This window comes from Homo sapiens, chromosome 5 (genome assembly GCF_000001405.40).
Source record: "Homo sapiens chromosome 5, GRCh38.p14 Primary Assembly".
In the NCBI taxonomy this organism is placed as follows: Eukaryota; Metazoa; Chordata; class Mammalia; order Primates; family Hominidae; genus Homo; species Homo sapiens.
The window spans coordinates 41,243,999-41,262,454 of NC_000005.10; the positions used below are offsets into that span (position 1 = coordinate 41,243,999).

An 18,456-nucleotide genomic window follows, 5' to 3' on the forward strand; every position below is an offset into this window, starting at 1 on the left:
CCATTCTATACCATTAATTCTTGGATCACCATCCATGTAAACTACATTTATCTCTTTGACTCAGGACCTGCTTTTGAGAAAACATAATCTAATATTAAAAGGGAGTCACAACTATAGAAAAAGATACTTTTGAACTTAATGTGTGAAAAATAAAGTTTTATAATAAAGTTGCAAAAGCAACGTTGTAAATATGAACATTCTAAACCAAATAACTTATTATAAGTTCCTCTCTTCTTTTTATTACGTTTTCTTTCTTTTGAGACAACAATAACAGCAGCAAAAGCTAAAATTTTTATGGTGTTTAGTAGTTCCAGGACATGCTCTAAATATTTTACACATAAAATTCTGTTAATTCTTATAACATCTTTATGGTTGGTAGGTGTATGATAATGGTAGGCATACAGAGAAAAAGTGATAAGTTGAATTTCATGCCCAGGATCATACTTCACAAATGGTAAAGACTGGGTCTAACTCAAGCAGTGAGATTTCAAAGCCCATACTAATAAATACCTTGCTATGTAGCTTCTATGCAACCTAATCTGCAACTATTGCTTCAATAACTACCTGCACAGACGTGGCTCCCAAATTTATAATTCTAATCTATGCCTTGTGTCTATGACCCTCCAGAACTGTCAACCACTGTCCCCCTTGGAAATTGTTCTTAGATGTCCCCAGGGGAAGAGCACTTCAAAGCCAAGGTATTAAAAGTCAAACACATTTTTTTTTTCCTTTAAATGTGATTCTCTTCTACATAATAAACTTTAGTTAATATCACAAAATTCAATGAGTGAATGTAGAAAGGATCAGGATATTACCTTATCTTCTTAATTTTCTGAGAGTTTTAAATCATGAATGAGTTATGAATTAGCAATGAATTTTTCTGCATGCTTTCTCTGCATCTAATGAAATGATTGTATGGTCCTCATTTTTTCAGTTAAAATGGTGAATCATGTTGATTGATTTTTTAATGTTAAACTAACCTCACATTCCTAGGATTTATTGCACTTGGTCATGGTTTATTTTCCTTTTTGTGTTTTGCTGAATTCTATTTGTTAACATTTTTTATAATTATTTTTGTATCTATTTTCATTAGTGGTCTGTGATTTTCTTTTATTGCAGTATCTTGTCTCATGTTGGTATCACAGTAATGCTGATCACATAAAATAAGTTGTGAAGTTTTGCCACCTTCCCTACTTTTCTGAAAGAGTTCATGTAACATTGGCATTTTTTTCTTCCTTAAAAATTTAACAGCCATGTGTGGTGGCTCACGCCTGTAATCCCAGCACTTTGGGAGGCCGAGATGGGCAGATCACCTGAGGTCAGGAGTTAGTGACTAGCCTGACTAACATGGTGAAACCCCATCTCTATGAAAAATTAGCTGGGCGTGGTGGCAGACACCTGTAATCCCAGCTACTTCGGAGGCTGAGGCAGGAGAATCGCTTGAACTCATGGGTGGAGATTGCAGTGAACTGAGATAGCACCATTGCACTCCAGCCTGGGCAAAAAGAAAAAAAAAAATTTAACAAGATTCACTAGTAAAGCCATCTGGACCTTGATATTTTTTTCCTGTGGGTAAGTTTTTAGTTAACATTTCAATTTCTGTACCTTAATTTGCAAAGTGGCTTTCAAAAAAAATCACAATCAGTTATTGAGTTCTATCAAATGCTTTTCCTTCATCAGTTGAGATAATCGTATTATTGTCTCTTTATTGTATTAATATAGGAAATTACATTGATTGATTTTTTTTTAAATCTTGAAATTAAAAACTTGGAAACCTGGAGTAAACCCAGGTTAGTTGTCATGTATTATCTTTTTAAACTACTGAAAATCCTTGCTTGATGATATTTTGTTTAGGAGCTTTGATATTTATTCATGAGAGATGTTGACCTATGATTTTCCTTTTTTAAAAGTAATGCCATTTTAGTTTGGATGTCACAATTATTCTGGCCTCCTAAAATGAATAGGAAATTATCCCTCTGAAGAAGGTTTCCTTCCCTTTAGGAGGGCATTTAGAGTAGAGGTAGATCATCTTAATACCCTCGAAGGTAGAGATGAGTTGAAGAATTAGTCTTTGACAATTCTTAACTTGTCAAAGTTAAGACTTAAACTTGACTCCTATGATGTTTACCAGGGCCTCCTTTTCGGCAAGCCATGAACTCCAAATTTTAGTCCCAGTCTAAAAGTCTGCTACTCTCTTAGTATCTTGGTGCTACGTTTCTCTTGGATTCCATGCCTCTTGGCTTCTTTGCTGTTAGATCTCTGTTTCTAGGCCATTGCTTGTAAATCAACAGATGCCTCCAGGTTAAAAGCTGGCCAAATGCTAGGCTCATTTCTGTACTTTGCTTCTCTCTAGGATCTTGTTCTTTTACATCCTCACTGATGCCTTCACACAGATGTTTTTGAAATTGCATCCAACTATTCTAATTATTCTTAGTGGGAGTGCTGTTCTGATAAAAGCTTCTCTGCCATATGTGCAGGCAGAGAGTGTCCAAAGTAATCTTCAGGTGCAAAAAAAATTAGTCATACCACTTAAAGCAATATTAGTTACATCAGCGTGACAGCACAGTCATAGGTGACTCATTGGGCCAGGGTGCATCTAACTAGGAGTTTTTGAAAAAGCCTGGAGATGCTGTGGGCCCATAAACCAGTCCAGGGCAGTCTAACTCTAGGCTGTTTCTTTGTGAGAAAAAGACATTCTTATGTGTTTATACTGTTGTTGTTGGATGTCTACTCCCAGCAGCTAAATGCAATTCCTACTTGATTGAGAAGAGGGCAAGACAAACAAACTTACTTGATGAGGACTAAAATGATGACTGTATGTTTGAGCTAGAAAAGGAAAATTTGGGATAAATAAGAGCAATACATCTTTACCTTCTGGGGAGTAATTCAGTAAAATATTTACCTCTAGAAGTAACATAATAAATTTATATGGTTATAAAATCAGATTCAGAAAGTTAAATCTGTGCAATAATGACAGATATCAGTTAAGTATTAATAATAAAAATTTTGGTTAGATATTATACTCTGATCATTACTTAGATCAAATGTGAGAAAACCTGTCTTTCCTTGTGCCTACATGCCATATAAAGTACTAGGCTGACTGGGCACAGTATTAGGCCTAGATTATGCTATGTTTATGCTGATTCTACCTCTCTAAATAAGCCAATTCAAGGAAGTCCTAGCCAGAACAATCAGGCAAAGGAAAAAAAATAAATAAAAGGCATCCAAATAGGAAAAGAAGAAGTCAAACTATCTCTCCTAATTGACAATATGATCCTATATCTAGAAAACCCTAATGCCTCCTCCAAAAGTCTCCTGGAATGACGTCAGTAAAATTTTAGGGTACAAAACTAATGTACAAAAATAAATAACATTACTATACATTAATAATGTTCAAGCTGAGGACCAAATCAAGAATGCTATCTAATTTACAATAGCCACAGAAAAGTAAAAATAAAATAAAATATTTAGAAATATACCTAACCAATTTGGGTGGATCATGAGGTCAGGAGATCAAGGCCATCCTGGCTGACATGGTGAAACCCCATCTCTAATAAAAATAGAAAAAAATTAGCTGGGCATTGTGGCGGGCGCCTGTAGTCCCAGCTACTCAGGAGGCTGAGGCAGGAGAATGGCATGAACCCGGGAGGTGGAGCCTGCAGTGAGCCGAGATCGCGCCACTGCACTCCAGCCTGGGTGACAGAGTGAGACTCCATCTCAGAAAAAAAAAAAAAAAAGCAATATATCTAACCAAGAAAGTGAAAGATCTCTACAAGGAAAACTTGTACAAGTGAAAACAAAATACTGCTGAAAGAAATCAAAGACACAAACAAATGTACAAATATTTTATCCTCATATATTCAAACCAAAAAAGAGCCAGAATAAGCAAAAAAAACAAAGCTGGAGGTATTATATTACCCAACTTCAGATTATACTATAAACCTATAGTAACCAGAAAAGCATGATACTGGTACAAAACAGACACATAGACCAATGGAACAGAACAGAGAACCCAGCTTGTATGCCTATAGCCATTTAATCTTCAACAATGTTGACAAAAATAAGCAATGAGGGAAGGACTCCCTATTCAATAAATGATGCTGAGATAGCTGGCTAGCACATGCAGAATAATGAAGCTGGACCTGTATCTTTCACCATATACAAAAATTAACTCAAGTTAGCTTAAAATTTTAAATGTAACAACTCAAAACTATGAGAATCCTAGAAGAAAACCTAGGAAATACCATTCTGGACCTCAGCCTTGGGAAAGAATTTATGATTAAGCCCTCAAAAGCAATTGCAACAGAAACAAAAATTGACAAGTGGGACTTAATTAAACTAAAGAGCTTCTGCACAGCAAAAGAAGCTATCAACAGAGTAACCAGATAATCTACAGAATGGGAGTAAATATTTGCAAGCTATGCATCTGACAAAGGTGTAATATCCAGAATCCATTAGGAACTTAAACAATTGAAGGAGCAAAGAACAAACAACCTCATTAAGAAATGGGCAAAAACATGAACAGACATTTCTGAAAAGAAGACATGCAAGTGGCCAACAAACTTATGAAAAAACATTCCACATCACTAATGATCAGACAAATGCAAATCAAAACCACAATGAGATACCATCTCACACCAGTCAAAATGGCTACTATTAAAAAGTCAAAAACCAACAGATGCTGGATAAGCCGTGGGGAAAATGGATGCTTATACGCTGCTGGTGGGAATGTAAGTAGTTCAGCCACAGTGGAAAGCAGTTTGGAGATTTCTCAAAGAACTCAAAACAGAACTACCATTACCCAGCAATCCCATTACTGGGTATATAGCCAAAGAAGATAAATCATTCTACTAAAAAGACACATGTACTCACATGTTTGTTGCAGTGCTGTTCACAATAGCAAAGATATGGAATGAATCTAGGTGGTCATCAATGGTGGATTGGTATATATACACTGTGGAATACTATATAGTCATAAAAAAGAACAAAATCATGTTCTTTTCAGCAACATAGATACAGCTAGAGGTCATTATTCTAAGAAGTTTAATGCAGAAATAGAAAACTGAATACTGTATATTCTCACTTCTAAGTAGTAGCTAATCATTGGGTACTTATGTACATAAAGATGGAAACAATAGACACTGGGGACTACTAGAAGGGAGACAGAAGTAACAGGACAAGGGTTGAAAAACTAACTATTGGTACCATGCTCAGTACTTGGGTGAGGGGATCAATGGTACCCCTTACCCAGGTAACAAAACTGCACATGCTTTCCCTGAATCTAAAATACAAGTTGAAATTACATTAAAAAAAAGTCAGTTCAAGTTTTTAAAAACATAACAATAATACCTGAGTATTTCTTTTTTTCCCAATAGTTAAAATAATAACAATTTAAATGCTTGTAAATACTGAAAATGATAGTAGAACTGTTATATTTGTATTTGCTCCTATAGATATCCAACCTCTACTTTACTTTGATGTAGTAAATCAACTTTAATTTTAAAGCTCTAATTTTGAGAGCCACAGAGGAGATTTTCTTTCATCCATAATCTTTCTGCTATAACCTTCAGCAAAGCATAAGAGAAATTAATGTTAGGGATTAGCCAGATGTGTTTTGAATATTGGCTAAATTGTTTTCACAGCTCAATCTATCATACCTTCGGCTTTATTTGAGCTCTCCCTTGCTGATGAGCTGAAATTCTACATGTGGGTAAAAAGTGTATTTTATCTGAAAGCCAGGAGTCAGAACTGAATAAAGCCATGGATATTGATTATTCCTCATTAACTTTGAGTTCTCAGAGCAAATAGGCTCATTTCAGATCTAATCCATACTATGGACAGAATGACTAACTTACAGGAGTACTCATAAGAAAACTGACAAAAATGTGTTTCAGAGTCATGTTTAAAAAAAGAAAAAGAAAGAAGAAAGGAAAACATGGATGGACAGCTTTTCATAAATAATGTACTACCCTCTTAAATGGAGATAATTATATGCTCCAAATTCTTTGGGTGGGTTTAGATTTGGACTTTTTCAGCTGCATGCACAGAGTCAATTCCTTCCCACCTTGTGGTCAACAGCTTTTAACTAGGGACAAATTATCCATAGTTAATGGTATCGGGGGAATTTAATATGTGGCTCCGGCTTTGCAGCGTCACACCCTATTTAACAGACTAGACTATATATTCCAGAATGGAAAATTCCACCTCCACTCTCACCCTAGGCTTGAGGAGAAACTTGAAGTTATGTTACCCAATAGTGGCACCAAACTCTGCGGAATTTGCATATGTCACATAACCTTGTGGGTCTCAGCTTTCCATCCTTTAAAATTACCGGCATGAGTTAGATGATTTCTAAGCACGTTTTTAGAGCTGTTGTCTACCTGTGGTCCTAGAATTAATGATTCCACTCCACAAATGTCCTTTAAACTTAATTTGTACCCAGTTATATTTTAGACCCTGGGATGAAAAAAATGAAAGTTATTGTCTCTATCTTCTCTGTCCCATTCATGTTGGGCCTAGTCAATGGAATGTGAACTGACCTGAAGTACATCATATCTGAGCAGGATTTAAATGTCCTGGCAGAGTTTGATTTGGCTTCTTGCATTCCTATTATCCACTATACACACTATATAAAGTGGCCCCCAAGAGCCACTGGTCCTCTAGCTGGGACCTAGAATGAGATCACATAGAGTATAGCCAAGCTTGAGCCCAGATGACCCCAGGTGAGCCCAGGTAAGCCACAGTAAACCTTCAGACTTGTGAGCAAGGAACAAATATTTGCTGTTGTAAGCCACTGAGATTGTGTAGTTGTTTCTTGCTACCTCAGAAGCTGACTAATATAGTGGTTTATTATTTAGTAGGAAAGAGATGTCACCTTCCCAGAAATAATTTTAGTGTAATGTGAAAAGATTCTATGTTTAAAGCCTTTCAATATCTTAATTTGGTATAAAGAAAATAATTTGACACATTACTTTTTTTGTCAATCGTTTGATCAGATTATTTTCTCTACTTTATATCTGAAGACCTTGAAGCTCAGAGATGATTTATTACTGGCCACAAATCACCCATCTTGAGTGCGGAGAACTATAATAAAATTTAGAATCTCTGAGTTTTGAATTGAAACTCTAGGTCCATCTTACATATTATTCTCCTGCCTCTGGCATAAGTATTTTAGTTATTATGCATTGAATCAGGTTTACATGCAAGTTCTTAAATAAATTGACAACAGCTGATTCAGGCCAAAAGGAACTTATTTAAGAAAAGGTTGAGTAGTCCAAATAAACAACAAGCAGGCTGAAAAATCTGGATAGGGGCAGCCTGAAATTGTACCCCAAATCATCCCAGAACCATATATATATATATATTTTCTACCAAGTACCAGATGCAATAGGTTGGATCACTGGCACCACTGGCACTAGACATTGAATGCTATTGCTGTTATTAGTGTGGCAGGCATATTGTCCTTGAAAACTTGATCTTGTTGCCACCAACCCTGTAGTCATGACCAAAGGGAATTCTTCCTGATATCCTCCTCTTTGTGTCCCTTGCCCTAGAAGAAAAGTTTGGAACAGCTGAATCTTAGGTCAAGGACCTAGGTCTTCGAATTTTCAGCTTTATGCTTACACTAAGAAGTTTCTCCCAAGTTAAGAAAAGGGTTCTGATGCTAGAGAGCTAAAACAATGACAGACGCTAGGCAAATACAAAATATATTTTTGCAAATGCTCTTCTTGAAGCTGCAATGTAGGACAGACTAGGCTGCGTGTGCCTTCCTTTCATTCTGGGATACTAGGTAGTTCAGGGATTTTACTGTGCTGGAGTCTCTGCATCAAGGCTGGGTATATGGGAAATGCAAATTTTATCTGTGGTTAGAAACATGAAGCAAAAAGCAAGTAAAGTCTCTGCTAAGGGAAAAGATATGGTTGGGAAATAAAGGGGCTGTAAATGCATGAAACTCAAGGAGAGAGGCAAGAAGCTAAATCCATATCCTAAGTAAACCTTATGGCAAAAGATTTTATAGCGTGGCTATCTTTTCCAGATGCTTGGGCCACATGTGTGTACACAGATTTGTTAAGGTAATATGCAAATTCAGATACCTAAGACCATTTAAAGGTGGTTTGCAAATATTCTGTGATTCACTTTCAAACTTGGCCCTATTTTAACTAATATAAATAGACATTCCTAAAGCATTGGAAAGCATGAGCATTGTGTATTCAAAGAAATATGTTAACCTCATTTGGCTGGTAGAGATTCTGGAAACAAGATGTAAGCCAAAAATTAAATTCTTAGCCTTCCACCAGTCTGCATGGATGGCCCCCCTCCTTGGCCAAGAGGATCTCAAAGAAAAATTAGTTCAGGCCTTGTTGGGAGGGGAGGTCAGTTATGCCTCATTATACCCCTCCCTTTGGAGTTGAGGCAAAACTGACCAGCACTAACATTAAAATAGAGACCATAAGACCTACAAGACAGACTCTTTGTAGCAGTGAGATACCCAACTCCAACCTGATTCTGATATAGATAGCATCTAATGACAGATAGCAGGTCCTGAAGAAAAGAAAAATATTTTACCTCAAAATGTAATTCTTTGATGTATTTTGAAATGGCCCTGCAAAGCCATCTCTTTTGGGAGAATTTTACCTTCTGTAGAGAGTCTCCTTCCCTTTCCAGGTCTTTTCCTGATTCAGGGGAAATTTAAGAGTTTGATACCTTTTAAGTTCTGATAAGAGACATTTACCATCTATTCTTTCTGAAGCTTGCTACCTGGAGGCTTCATCTACATAACAAGAACCTTGGCTTCCACAGCTCCCCTTATCTTAACTTTTTCAACCAATTGCCAATCAGAAAATCTTTGACTCCACCGTTGGCATGTGAGTGGGCTGAACCAATATATACCTCACATTTATTGATTTATGTCTTTGCCTGTAACTTTTGTCTCCTTAAAATGTGTAAAACCAAGCTGTAACTCAACCACCTTGGGCACATGTTCTAAGGACTTCTTGAGGTTGTGTTCCAGGCCATGGTCTGTCATATTTGAGTCATATTTGGCTCAGAATAAACTTCTTCAAATATTTTTGAAGAGGGGAAGAAGGCATGGGCTTGAATTGAAATCTGATTATATGTTAAGAATGACATGTAATTGTTTTAAGCATTTGATTATGAAGTCCCTTGGTATACTTTTCTTCATTTATGTTATGCATGGGATTTTTCCTTTCTGGCTGGTAGGAATATAAACATCTCCAACCTTGTTTGAGCTCTGTGGTTTTCACCTGTAATCCAACCTCTTGGGTGGTTCTTTGCTGGGCCTCAGGTGGTTTCCTCATACCTGTGAGCTGACTGATACTCACCCAAAGGCTGGAGGAGGGCCCTCACCAAATTTTTATCTCATAAATCTCTCTCTGTGTAGCTCTCTCCTTTTTGTTACCCTGCCCTGTGAACTCTAGTTGGCTGTACATCCTTACAGTCCCAAGTCTGTTTTCTTAACTCTGGGAGACTCCCAGGCTCCACTTGGGATTTTCCTCCTTTTCTTGAGGCCTAAAAACTTTTATCAAGGCTGTAAACTAGGGCAATTGTAGGACCCACCTAATTTGTTTTCTCTCTCCCAGGAATCACTGCTCTATAGAGTGTAGGGTCCAATGGCTGAAAAACCATTGTTTTATTTAGCTTGTTTTTAGGTTATTTTGGATTGTCCTTGTTACGCTTTCTTGATCCAGAGTGGAATGTAATTGTACGGATAATATGTGCTATTGTTTATATCAACATCAACAATAAAGAAAGTGTTTTTTAAAAATATGGTATTTTTATTGTAATTTCTCCAAAGCTGTAATTAAATTGATAGTGCTTCCTAAAGGTGTTTTTGAGTTGTAAAAAATACATTGTATGCAACAGTGAAAAAATATTTTGATAATTATGCCCAAAAGGCAATGTGTAATTTGGGATTTTATAACATTCCAAGTTCTCTAAGTATAGATCCCAACCTTAAAAGTTGCAAATATGGGCAAATTTCACACAGTTGGCCTTATTTATTAATAGTACATGTTTCTAGGAATAACTTATGTATAAAAGTACGTTCCTGACTGCAATATATATAGGAAAAAATTATTACATAGAAAAGAAAGAATAGTTTTGGCCAGGCATGGTGGCTCACACCTATAATCCCAGCACTTTGGGAGGCCGAGGTGGGTGGATCACTAGGTCAAGAGATCGAGACCATCCTGGCTAACACGGTGAAACCCCATCTCTACTAAAAATACAAAAAATTAAATTAGCCGGGTGTGGTGATGGGCGCCTGTAGTCCCAACTACTTGGGAGGCTGAGGCAGGAGAATGGCGTGAACCCAGGAGGTGGAGCTTGCAGTGAGCCGAGACTGCACCACTGTACTCCAGCCTGGGCAACAGAGCAAGACTCCATCTCAAAAAAAGAAAGAGAAAGAATAGTTTTATAATTTTTGTCTTCTCCTTAGCTAGTAAAATAGAGTTTCTACAGAAGTACCTACATGTATAGCCTCCATTTCTTAGGTTTAATTAAAATATTACTTATAGATTATATCACCAGCCTCATTATATAGCTACCAAGTGGAGAGTGAAGAGAACCTTGATAACTCCCTTTACAGAACCTTCACAATTATTCTAATTATTATCTGATAGATCAGAGATTACCACTGTGTATTTCAGCTCAATGTAAATGTTAAGTGATCCCTATAGAAAGGAAATCATAATACAGTGTTGGAATAGACTTTAATCAAATTGACAACATTTTATCTTTATAAAATTTTAACTGAAGAACAGTTGCAATCCAGAAAGCAAGATTTACAGGAAGCACACAGTGACTAGTCCTGCAAGAGTTTATGTGACTTCTGCTACTATGGATCTCAGTGAAAGCGTTTTAGTCTCCTAGATAATTTTGCAAATGAGTAGACAGGTATAGAGGGATTGTGTCACTTTAAATTTTGCAAGAAATTGGTGAAGACCCAGAGTATAATGCATAGGTGCTCATGTCTGATTCCTGGTCATCCACATCAACTTCCCAGAGAACAAATGCTTTGAGGGGCCAACTAGAAATTAACTTTAAAAAAGGATAAGAGTCTTGGCCAGGCATGGTGGCTCATCTCTGTAATTCCAGCACTTTGGGAGGCCAAGGTGGGCAGATCACTTGAGGCAGGAGTTCAAGACCAGCCTGACCAACATGGTGAAACCCTGTCTCTACTAAAAATACAAAAATTAGGCGGGCATGGTGGTGGGTGCCTGTAATCCCAGCTACTCGGGAGACTGAGGCATGGGAATTGCTTAAACCTGGGAGGCGGCGGCCGCAGTGAGCCGAGATCGCCCCACTGCACTCCAGCCTGGGAGACAGAGTGAGATTCCGTTAAAAAAAAAAAAAAGATAAGAGTCTTAACATGGTTACACAAGATCCACTTTCATTCTTTCATATTCTTGGTAGAAGGGAAATTGGACTCTTTGGGCTGCAAGTAACGGAGACAAGGGCTTACTTATAGGAAATATATATAGTAGTACAAGTGTGTCTTATGGAATCAATGACAGTCATGAAGCCAAGCCTTGGGAAGGGACTCTAATCAGGAAATAGGAAACTGTGAAGCCTGAACATATCTCCACTTCTCTCTGCCTACAATATGCATTCTTATACCTGCCCTGATTGGCTTTTGATTTTTGTGGTCTATGAAGGGAAGACAATGTTTCACAACTGAATTTACGTGCTATAGGTCTGTCAAAAGTAAAAACAAATTGGCAGTTCCAATTCTTAATTCCCAGAGAAGGGAATATGAGTGGCCAGCTTGGTCAGGAGTTGACCTGTGGTCCAATAAGGAGATTATATTACTGTAAAGAGCTTATTTTTATAGTTCAGCCTCTACAGAGGGAATAGTTCCCAGGTAAGGCAAAATCATTGTGAAAAGATGTCTAAGCATCTGTGAGTGGAGATGTGCTAACAGAAAGGAAGTATGGGGTTACATTCCCAACTTTTGACAAGTTAGTATCATGAGGTTGCTGTGCAGTGAGAGCAAATGTCATGTTAGATGTAATTTGGGGTTAAGAGTCTTAGATTCTTGCGATAGTTTACTGAGAATGATGGTTTCCAGTTTCATCCATGTCCCTACAAAGGACATGAACTCATCATTTTTTATGGCTGCATAGTATTCCATGGTGTATATGTGCCACATTTTCTTAATCCAGTCTATCATTGTTGGACATTTGGGTTGGTTCCAAGTCTTTGCTATTGTGAATAATGCCGCAATAAACATACGTGTGCATGTGTCTTTATAGCAGCATGATTTATAGTCATTTGGGTATAGGATAGCATTGGGAGATATACCTAATGCTAGATGACGAGTTAGTGGGTGCAGCACACCAGCATGGCACATGTATACATATATAACTAACGTGCACAATGTGCACATATACCCTAAAACTTAAAGTATAATTAAAAAAAAAAAAGTAAAAAAAAAAAAAAAAGAGTCTTAGATTCTACAGGCCTCAGGCTGGACTGCACCACCCAGACTGCTAAGCTTCCCTTAACGTCACCTTTTCAGTTACTGAAATCAGAGGGCCCCACTGCTGAGAGAATTTTGTGGTTTGATGACAGCTAATCTTTGTATCACACAGGGGTTTCTCAATGTTGGATATAAGTTCTCTGGCATAAAGCTTGCCTGGTTTTATGTTACGATATCCTGCCTCTAATGACCTCAATAATGTTGCCAACTGCACCGTATTCCAAGCCAACCTTCTTTTTTTCTGGAATATCTGTACCTTACGAGCAGATTGAGTCTCTTATTAGACAGATTGAAGGCCAGCCAGCTCCTTGATAAAAGGGAACACATTTTACAAATGGGTAAAGGAACAATTGCCTCATGGTGCAATATCAGTGGGAGGTTCCCATACCCACTTTCCATCCCCAAGTCCAATGAGGTGTGTTTTGTTTTCTGAATGAGGTAGGCTTTCTGCAGTTTGGATGAGGCTTTCATCTTTGTTTACACTAAAAATACTACAGAGAGTACTTCCAAGTTTTATTTATTTATTTATTATTTTTCAACTTTTATTTTAGGTTCAGTGATTACATGTTCAGGTTTGTTACAACGGTAAATTGCATTTCACGGGGGTTCGGTGTACAGATGATTTTGTCACCCAGGTAGTAAGCATAGGTAGTTTTTTGACCTTTACACTCCTCCCACCCTCCTTGCTCAAGTAGGCCCTGGTGTCTATTGTTCCCATCTTTGTGTCCACGTGTAAGCAACGTTTAGCTCCCACTTATAAATCAAAACATGTAGTATTTGGTTTTCTGTTCCTGCATTAATTCACTTAGGATAATGACCTCCAGCTACATTCATGTTGCTGCCAAGGACATTATTTCATTTTTTCATGGCTGCATACCTTTCCGTGGTATATGTATACCACATTTTCTTTATCCAGTACACTGTTAATGGGCATCTAGATAGATCCCATGTCTTGCTATTGTGAATAGTGCTGTGATGAACATATGAATACATGTATCTTTCTGGTAGAATGACTTATTTTTTGGGGATACATACCCAGCAATAGGACTGCTGGGTTGAATGGTTATTGCACTTGATGAATAAAGTGTTTGGGAGTAGGCTTCAGGCTTCTTTAGCTTTAAGGAAGGGTTACCACTATGAAAGTAGAAGCCATCGGAATAGAAAGCCACAAACAACCATATCACATCTACTCACCTACCTGCTTTTGTAGGCACATACTCTGCCCTCCCTGTTGTTAACAGTCTATTCTCCCATCTAAGGCTGACATATATACTACCTCCCAGCCCCCTCATGCTGAATTAGGAAGATTCCACCGACATATTCCCTTTTTATTTTTTTGGCTAATTATCAAATTTTCTTGCTTTTCTGGATTGTTCCCACCTACATGTATGTATTTGATATTATTTACTTAAAAGAAAGAAATAAGCTTAACAACCATCAGCATAAATTTTTTAAATCAAATTTAAAATTTCACATAGAAAAAAATCTTTTTACATAATTAACTCATTTTTTTCTACCCAATCATAAAACTTTACTTTTTATGACTTAAAAACAACAACAAAGAAAAAACCCACCAGGCATGGTCTTCACAAGCAAAAATTAAATTGCTTTAATTTTTCTTATTATTCTATAATAACATAGTCTTGGTATTATCTAAATGTTGACTTAAAGCTCTTGTTAATGTATTATGAGGAAAGGAAACATAAAACACATTTGAAAGTCATTATTATTGCATTGCTGTACAGATCTGAAAATTCAAAGGTGACTTGTGAAGTCAAATTTCATAAACTTCTTTATTCTATATGAAGTGAAGAAGGATTCTGACACTTATTCAATTGTTTTTTGTTTTTATTTTTGGCTGAAGTATCTACACTGTAGTAATTTCATGATTTGGTTTAATGATTTTATTAGCTGAAATATGAGACAACCACATTTAAATGAAAATAGGAAGGTTATATGTTAACAGAAAAAGTTTCTAACTGGAAGGCAGACATGCCCTTTTCTAAATGTCAGATCTTGGAACCCAGTCATTTAAGTGTTTTGATGCTGTTTGAGTCCAAAAAATATTTTTGAAAGCTTCAAAGAATTTACTTATATTGAACAGGTCTTAGAGGGAAAGACCTGTTGAATGAAAGTAACCACATCTATACGTACTGTATTAGCCCATTCTCATGCTGCTATGAAGAAATACCTGAGACTGGGTAATTTATAAAGAAAAGAGGTTTAATTGAATCACAGTATCACATAGCTGGGGAGACCTTAGGAAAATTAACAATCATGGCGGAAAGCAACTCTTCACAGAGTGGCAGGAGAGAGAATGAGTGCAAGCAGGGGAAATGCCAGACACTTATAGAAGCATCAGATCTCATGAGATTCACTTATTGTCATGAGAACAGCATTGGGGACCCACCCCATGATCCAATTACCTTCATCTGGTCCCACCCTTGACATGTGGGGATTATGAGGATTACAATTCAAGGTGAGATTTGGGTGGGGACACAGAACCAAACCATATCACATATACAGTGAGATCAACTAACATGTTTATGGGTTTTAAGTTCACTAATAATGAACTGGAGTCTGGGTCACTGTCACAGATGAGAAGTTTCATTTTAAAAGCTTTAAAAAAGAGAATGTAATAAATTGGTGTTGCCTTTAGGGGATCTTGCTCTAATGTACTTGAAAACATTTACTTATTCAAATTCAAAATGATTAAATCAAATGTTTGATGAAATTATGAAAAAGATATAAATCTAACCTTAGTTCTTCTTAATGGGGAAACAAAGAGTAAAAATAGCTGGCAAAGTGTGAACTAAATACGTGGCTTATTTTACTTTGCATTCCTTGGTGAATGTATATGGGTTTCTAGAATCTCTTGTATTTTATTCCATTGTTAATATAAGCAATGATGTCCAGGCTCTTGACAAATGTTAATTTCAATTTTAAATTCTATTTTTCAGGTCAGTCCAATGCCATTAAAAACTGCATAGTTGTCCCAATTTTCAGCCCCTGAAATTACCAAAAAAAAAAAAAAAAAATCTCTGTTTTCTGAGATAATAGCACTATTTTCCTACAACAAGACTTAAACTGTTTTCAGCACATTACCACCTTAAAAAAATCAATAAACCCCTTGGCATAAATATTGAGAATTTAAATTACCAATTGCTTATAAGTGGGCCTTAACTCTAATTTTAGGAAGAGGTTTCTGTTTCCTAATTAGTTCATTTTATTGGCCTGAGGCTGCACTTAAAAAGAATAAAATTATCCATTATTTTTTCCTAATATCTCCCAAATGTCGTACCTATTAAGAATAGGGACACCGTCAGCTTTCAGCTTTCAATAGGGGTGCTGTTGGCATTATGATGCGTCAGTTCTTCCTTAAACCAGAATGTCTCACAGAAATTGAGGATTATTTGGCATGTCTGGCCTGAACCCACTAAAAGCCTGGGCTGTCCCCACACATTTCCAAATGTCCTGTAGAGAACAAACCACTCTCAGCTGGAAATCTAAACACCTCTGAGGAGAAAGAATTGTTTTATTCAATTTATCTACTTATTATCCAGTTATGGATAATGATTTCTAGGTTATTCATGAGTTGCAGCCAAAGCTTCCTATAGTTTAATTTTTTTCCTCAAAAGTAATTCAGATGAATATTTTGCTTTTCGTCCACTATAAGCTTATTATAAGGTACAAAACACAAGTTGATTATTTTTTAAATTTTCATTTGCCTAGGCAAATGAAGTGGTAACTTGAACACACACACAAACACACCACACACACACACACGCCAGCTTTGTGACTTAGTTACATAACTTTCTTCAGAAAAAGGACATACTACAAATATTGGAGGCACAGACTTTCAAACACGTTATATCAAAACTTGTAATTAGTGCTTTCAGATCCCTTCTCTTCAGTAAATCCAGAATTGTTCAGTAAAAACAAACAAATAAACCCCCCCCCAAAACAAACAAACAAATAAAAATGCTGCAACTGCTGGCGCAGTGGCTCATGCTTGTAATCCCAGCACTTTGGGAGGCCGAGGCGGTCGTATCACCTGAGGTTGGGAGTTCGAGACCAGCCTGACCAACACGGAGAAACCCCATCTCTACTAAAAATACAAAAAAAAATTAGGTGGGCATGGTGGCTCATGCCTGTAAATTCCAGCTACTGAGGAGGCTGAGGCAGGAGAATCACTTGAACCTGGGAGGTGGAGGTTGTAGTAAGCCAAGATGGCGCCATTGCACTCCAGCCTGGGCAACAAGAGTGAAACTCCATCTCAAAAAAAAAAACAAAACAAAAACAAACCAAAAAAACCCCTGCAACTTCTCTAGTCTTAAACACACCAGTCCTATAGATGGATACTGTGGGTAAGGAGAAACAGAATGAATGAAAATGAAAACATGAACAAGTTAGATTTGACAAAATTACACTTCAATTAGTAATGACAAGATACTACACAAAGGTTTGTTTTCCAAATGTGAAATCTCCATTGACTTCACAAAGACATTGTCACACAGCAATCACATATTATAAAAAGCACCATCGCAAATGTACCCAAAACCATATTCTATAAAACTGAACTACTGCCTTTGTAAACTTTCATCTGGAAATCTTTTAACCAGCCATTTCAAGAAGCACCAACCTCATATGCATGCCCACCAATTAAAAAAAAAGAAGAAAAAAGTAGAAAACTTACTATGCATCTATGACTTGAAGAAATACCAGCAGATACTTCAGCACATCAAAATCCAAGTCCAGAGTAACTGGTTTCATATTTCTTATTATGAGCTCTCAGCAGGAATCTTACTATATGATGAAATATTTAAGCTAGAAACATCTCTCTTTAAAAGTATTTCAGTTTTTAAGACTCAGTTTCAGAATAAAATTTAATGAATGTTATGTTGAAGACATACAAAATTAAGAGAGACGGGTATATTTTAGGGAGAAACTCCTATGTATGCTAAACCGGATTGAGAATCTCTACATTTTAGTTTCCTTTTTAAAAGAAATTGCAACAGAGACTCAATGCAAATCCAGACACAACTGTGTTGTTCTGTTTTATCTTCCTACCCCCATCTCCTGCTTATTTTTATCTTTTAGTGCTTTTTTACACAAATTAAACATTGCAAAAACTATTCCAATTTTTAAAAATCGCAAATTCAGAAAGATTGGAGTTGCATCTCAAATATTTAAAAACAAATCTTACAATTAAAATTTTCAAATAATAAAAACAGTAGTTTAAAACTTATTTAATTGTCACTTATCAATCCAAAATTATTATCTTTCACTTCATTTTTAATGAGATTGATTTTCGTTTTTAAATAGCAATGTCACTACATCAGAATGCGGTGATTTTTTTCTGCATTCGAAATACTTTCAAATTCTATGTTTTTGACAGGTTTTTAGATTACATAGAAAATGAATAAAAAACATTCTGTTGAATAAAATATACTGAATTATATAATAAGCAAGACACACTCCTTTGGAGGATAAACTGCTGGCAAAACAAAATATCCTGTATATATATAAGTGAGCAAGAAAATTCTTTCTCTTTTTTCTTTTTTCTTCTTTCTTCTTTTTCTTTCTTTTTCTGTCTCTTTCCCTTCTTTCCTTCTTTCTTTCCTTTCTTCTTTACTCTCAAAATCCACTTTTCCTAAAGTATGTTCTACAAAACTGGAATTGAGAATTAAGGTGGGCAGGGAGGAGAGGGAAAATAAAAAGATAAAATAAAGACAGATAAAATTATAGCAAACAATTGGTAAAGGCTACAGTCACACTCCAGGATGGTAGGCACTGCTTGAAGTAATTTAAAATGGAGCAAAAGCTCAGATTTGTATTGTAGTATGAGGATCAAGGAGGAATTTAACACCTGAAACCATTGTGCCTTTTTATTGTAAATGCTGCTTCCTCCTTCCTACCTCCATAGAAAGGACTTTTTATTTCGCTATTTCTTCCTC

At 36.5% G+C, this 18,456-nt stretch overlaps 1 protein-coding gene across 5 annotated transcripts in view, besides 1 other annotated feature; it reads right to left on the reverse strand.

Annotated features, from left to right (window-relative positions):
- Window positions 1–17,471, reverse strand: part of C6 (complement C6) — a 119,354-nt gene extending 101,883 nt beyond the window's left edge. For all 5 annotated transcript variants that reach the window (XM_047417689.1, NM_001115131.4, XM_011514119.4 and 2 more), the window contains exon 1: window positions 17,196–17,471. In XM_047417689.1, coding sequence (XP_047273645.1) covers window positions 17,196–17,202 — 7 coding nt within the window. In that variant the 5' untranslated portion in view covers window positions 17,203–17,471. The remainder of the gene's footprint in view (window positions 1–17,195) is intronic.
- Window positions 8,497–9,029: an enhancer, noted in NCBI's record as "NANOG hESC enhancer chr5:41252597-41253129 (GRCh37/hg19 assembly coordinates)". NCBI's record gives its function as "activates a minimal SCP1, AML or CMV promoter by ChIP-STARR-seq in naive H9 embryonic stem cells {active_cell/tissue: H9 hESC(naive)}" and the evidence as "EXISTENCE:reporter gene assay evidence [ECO:0000049][PMID:30033119]".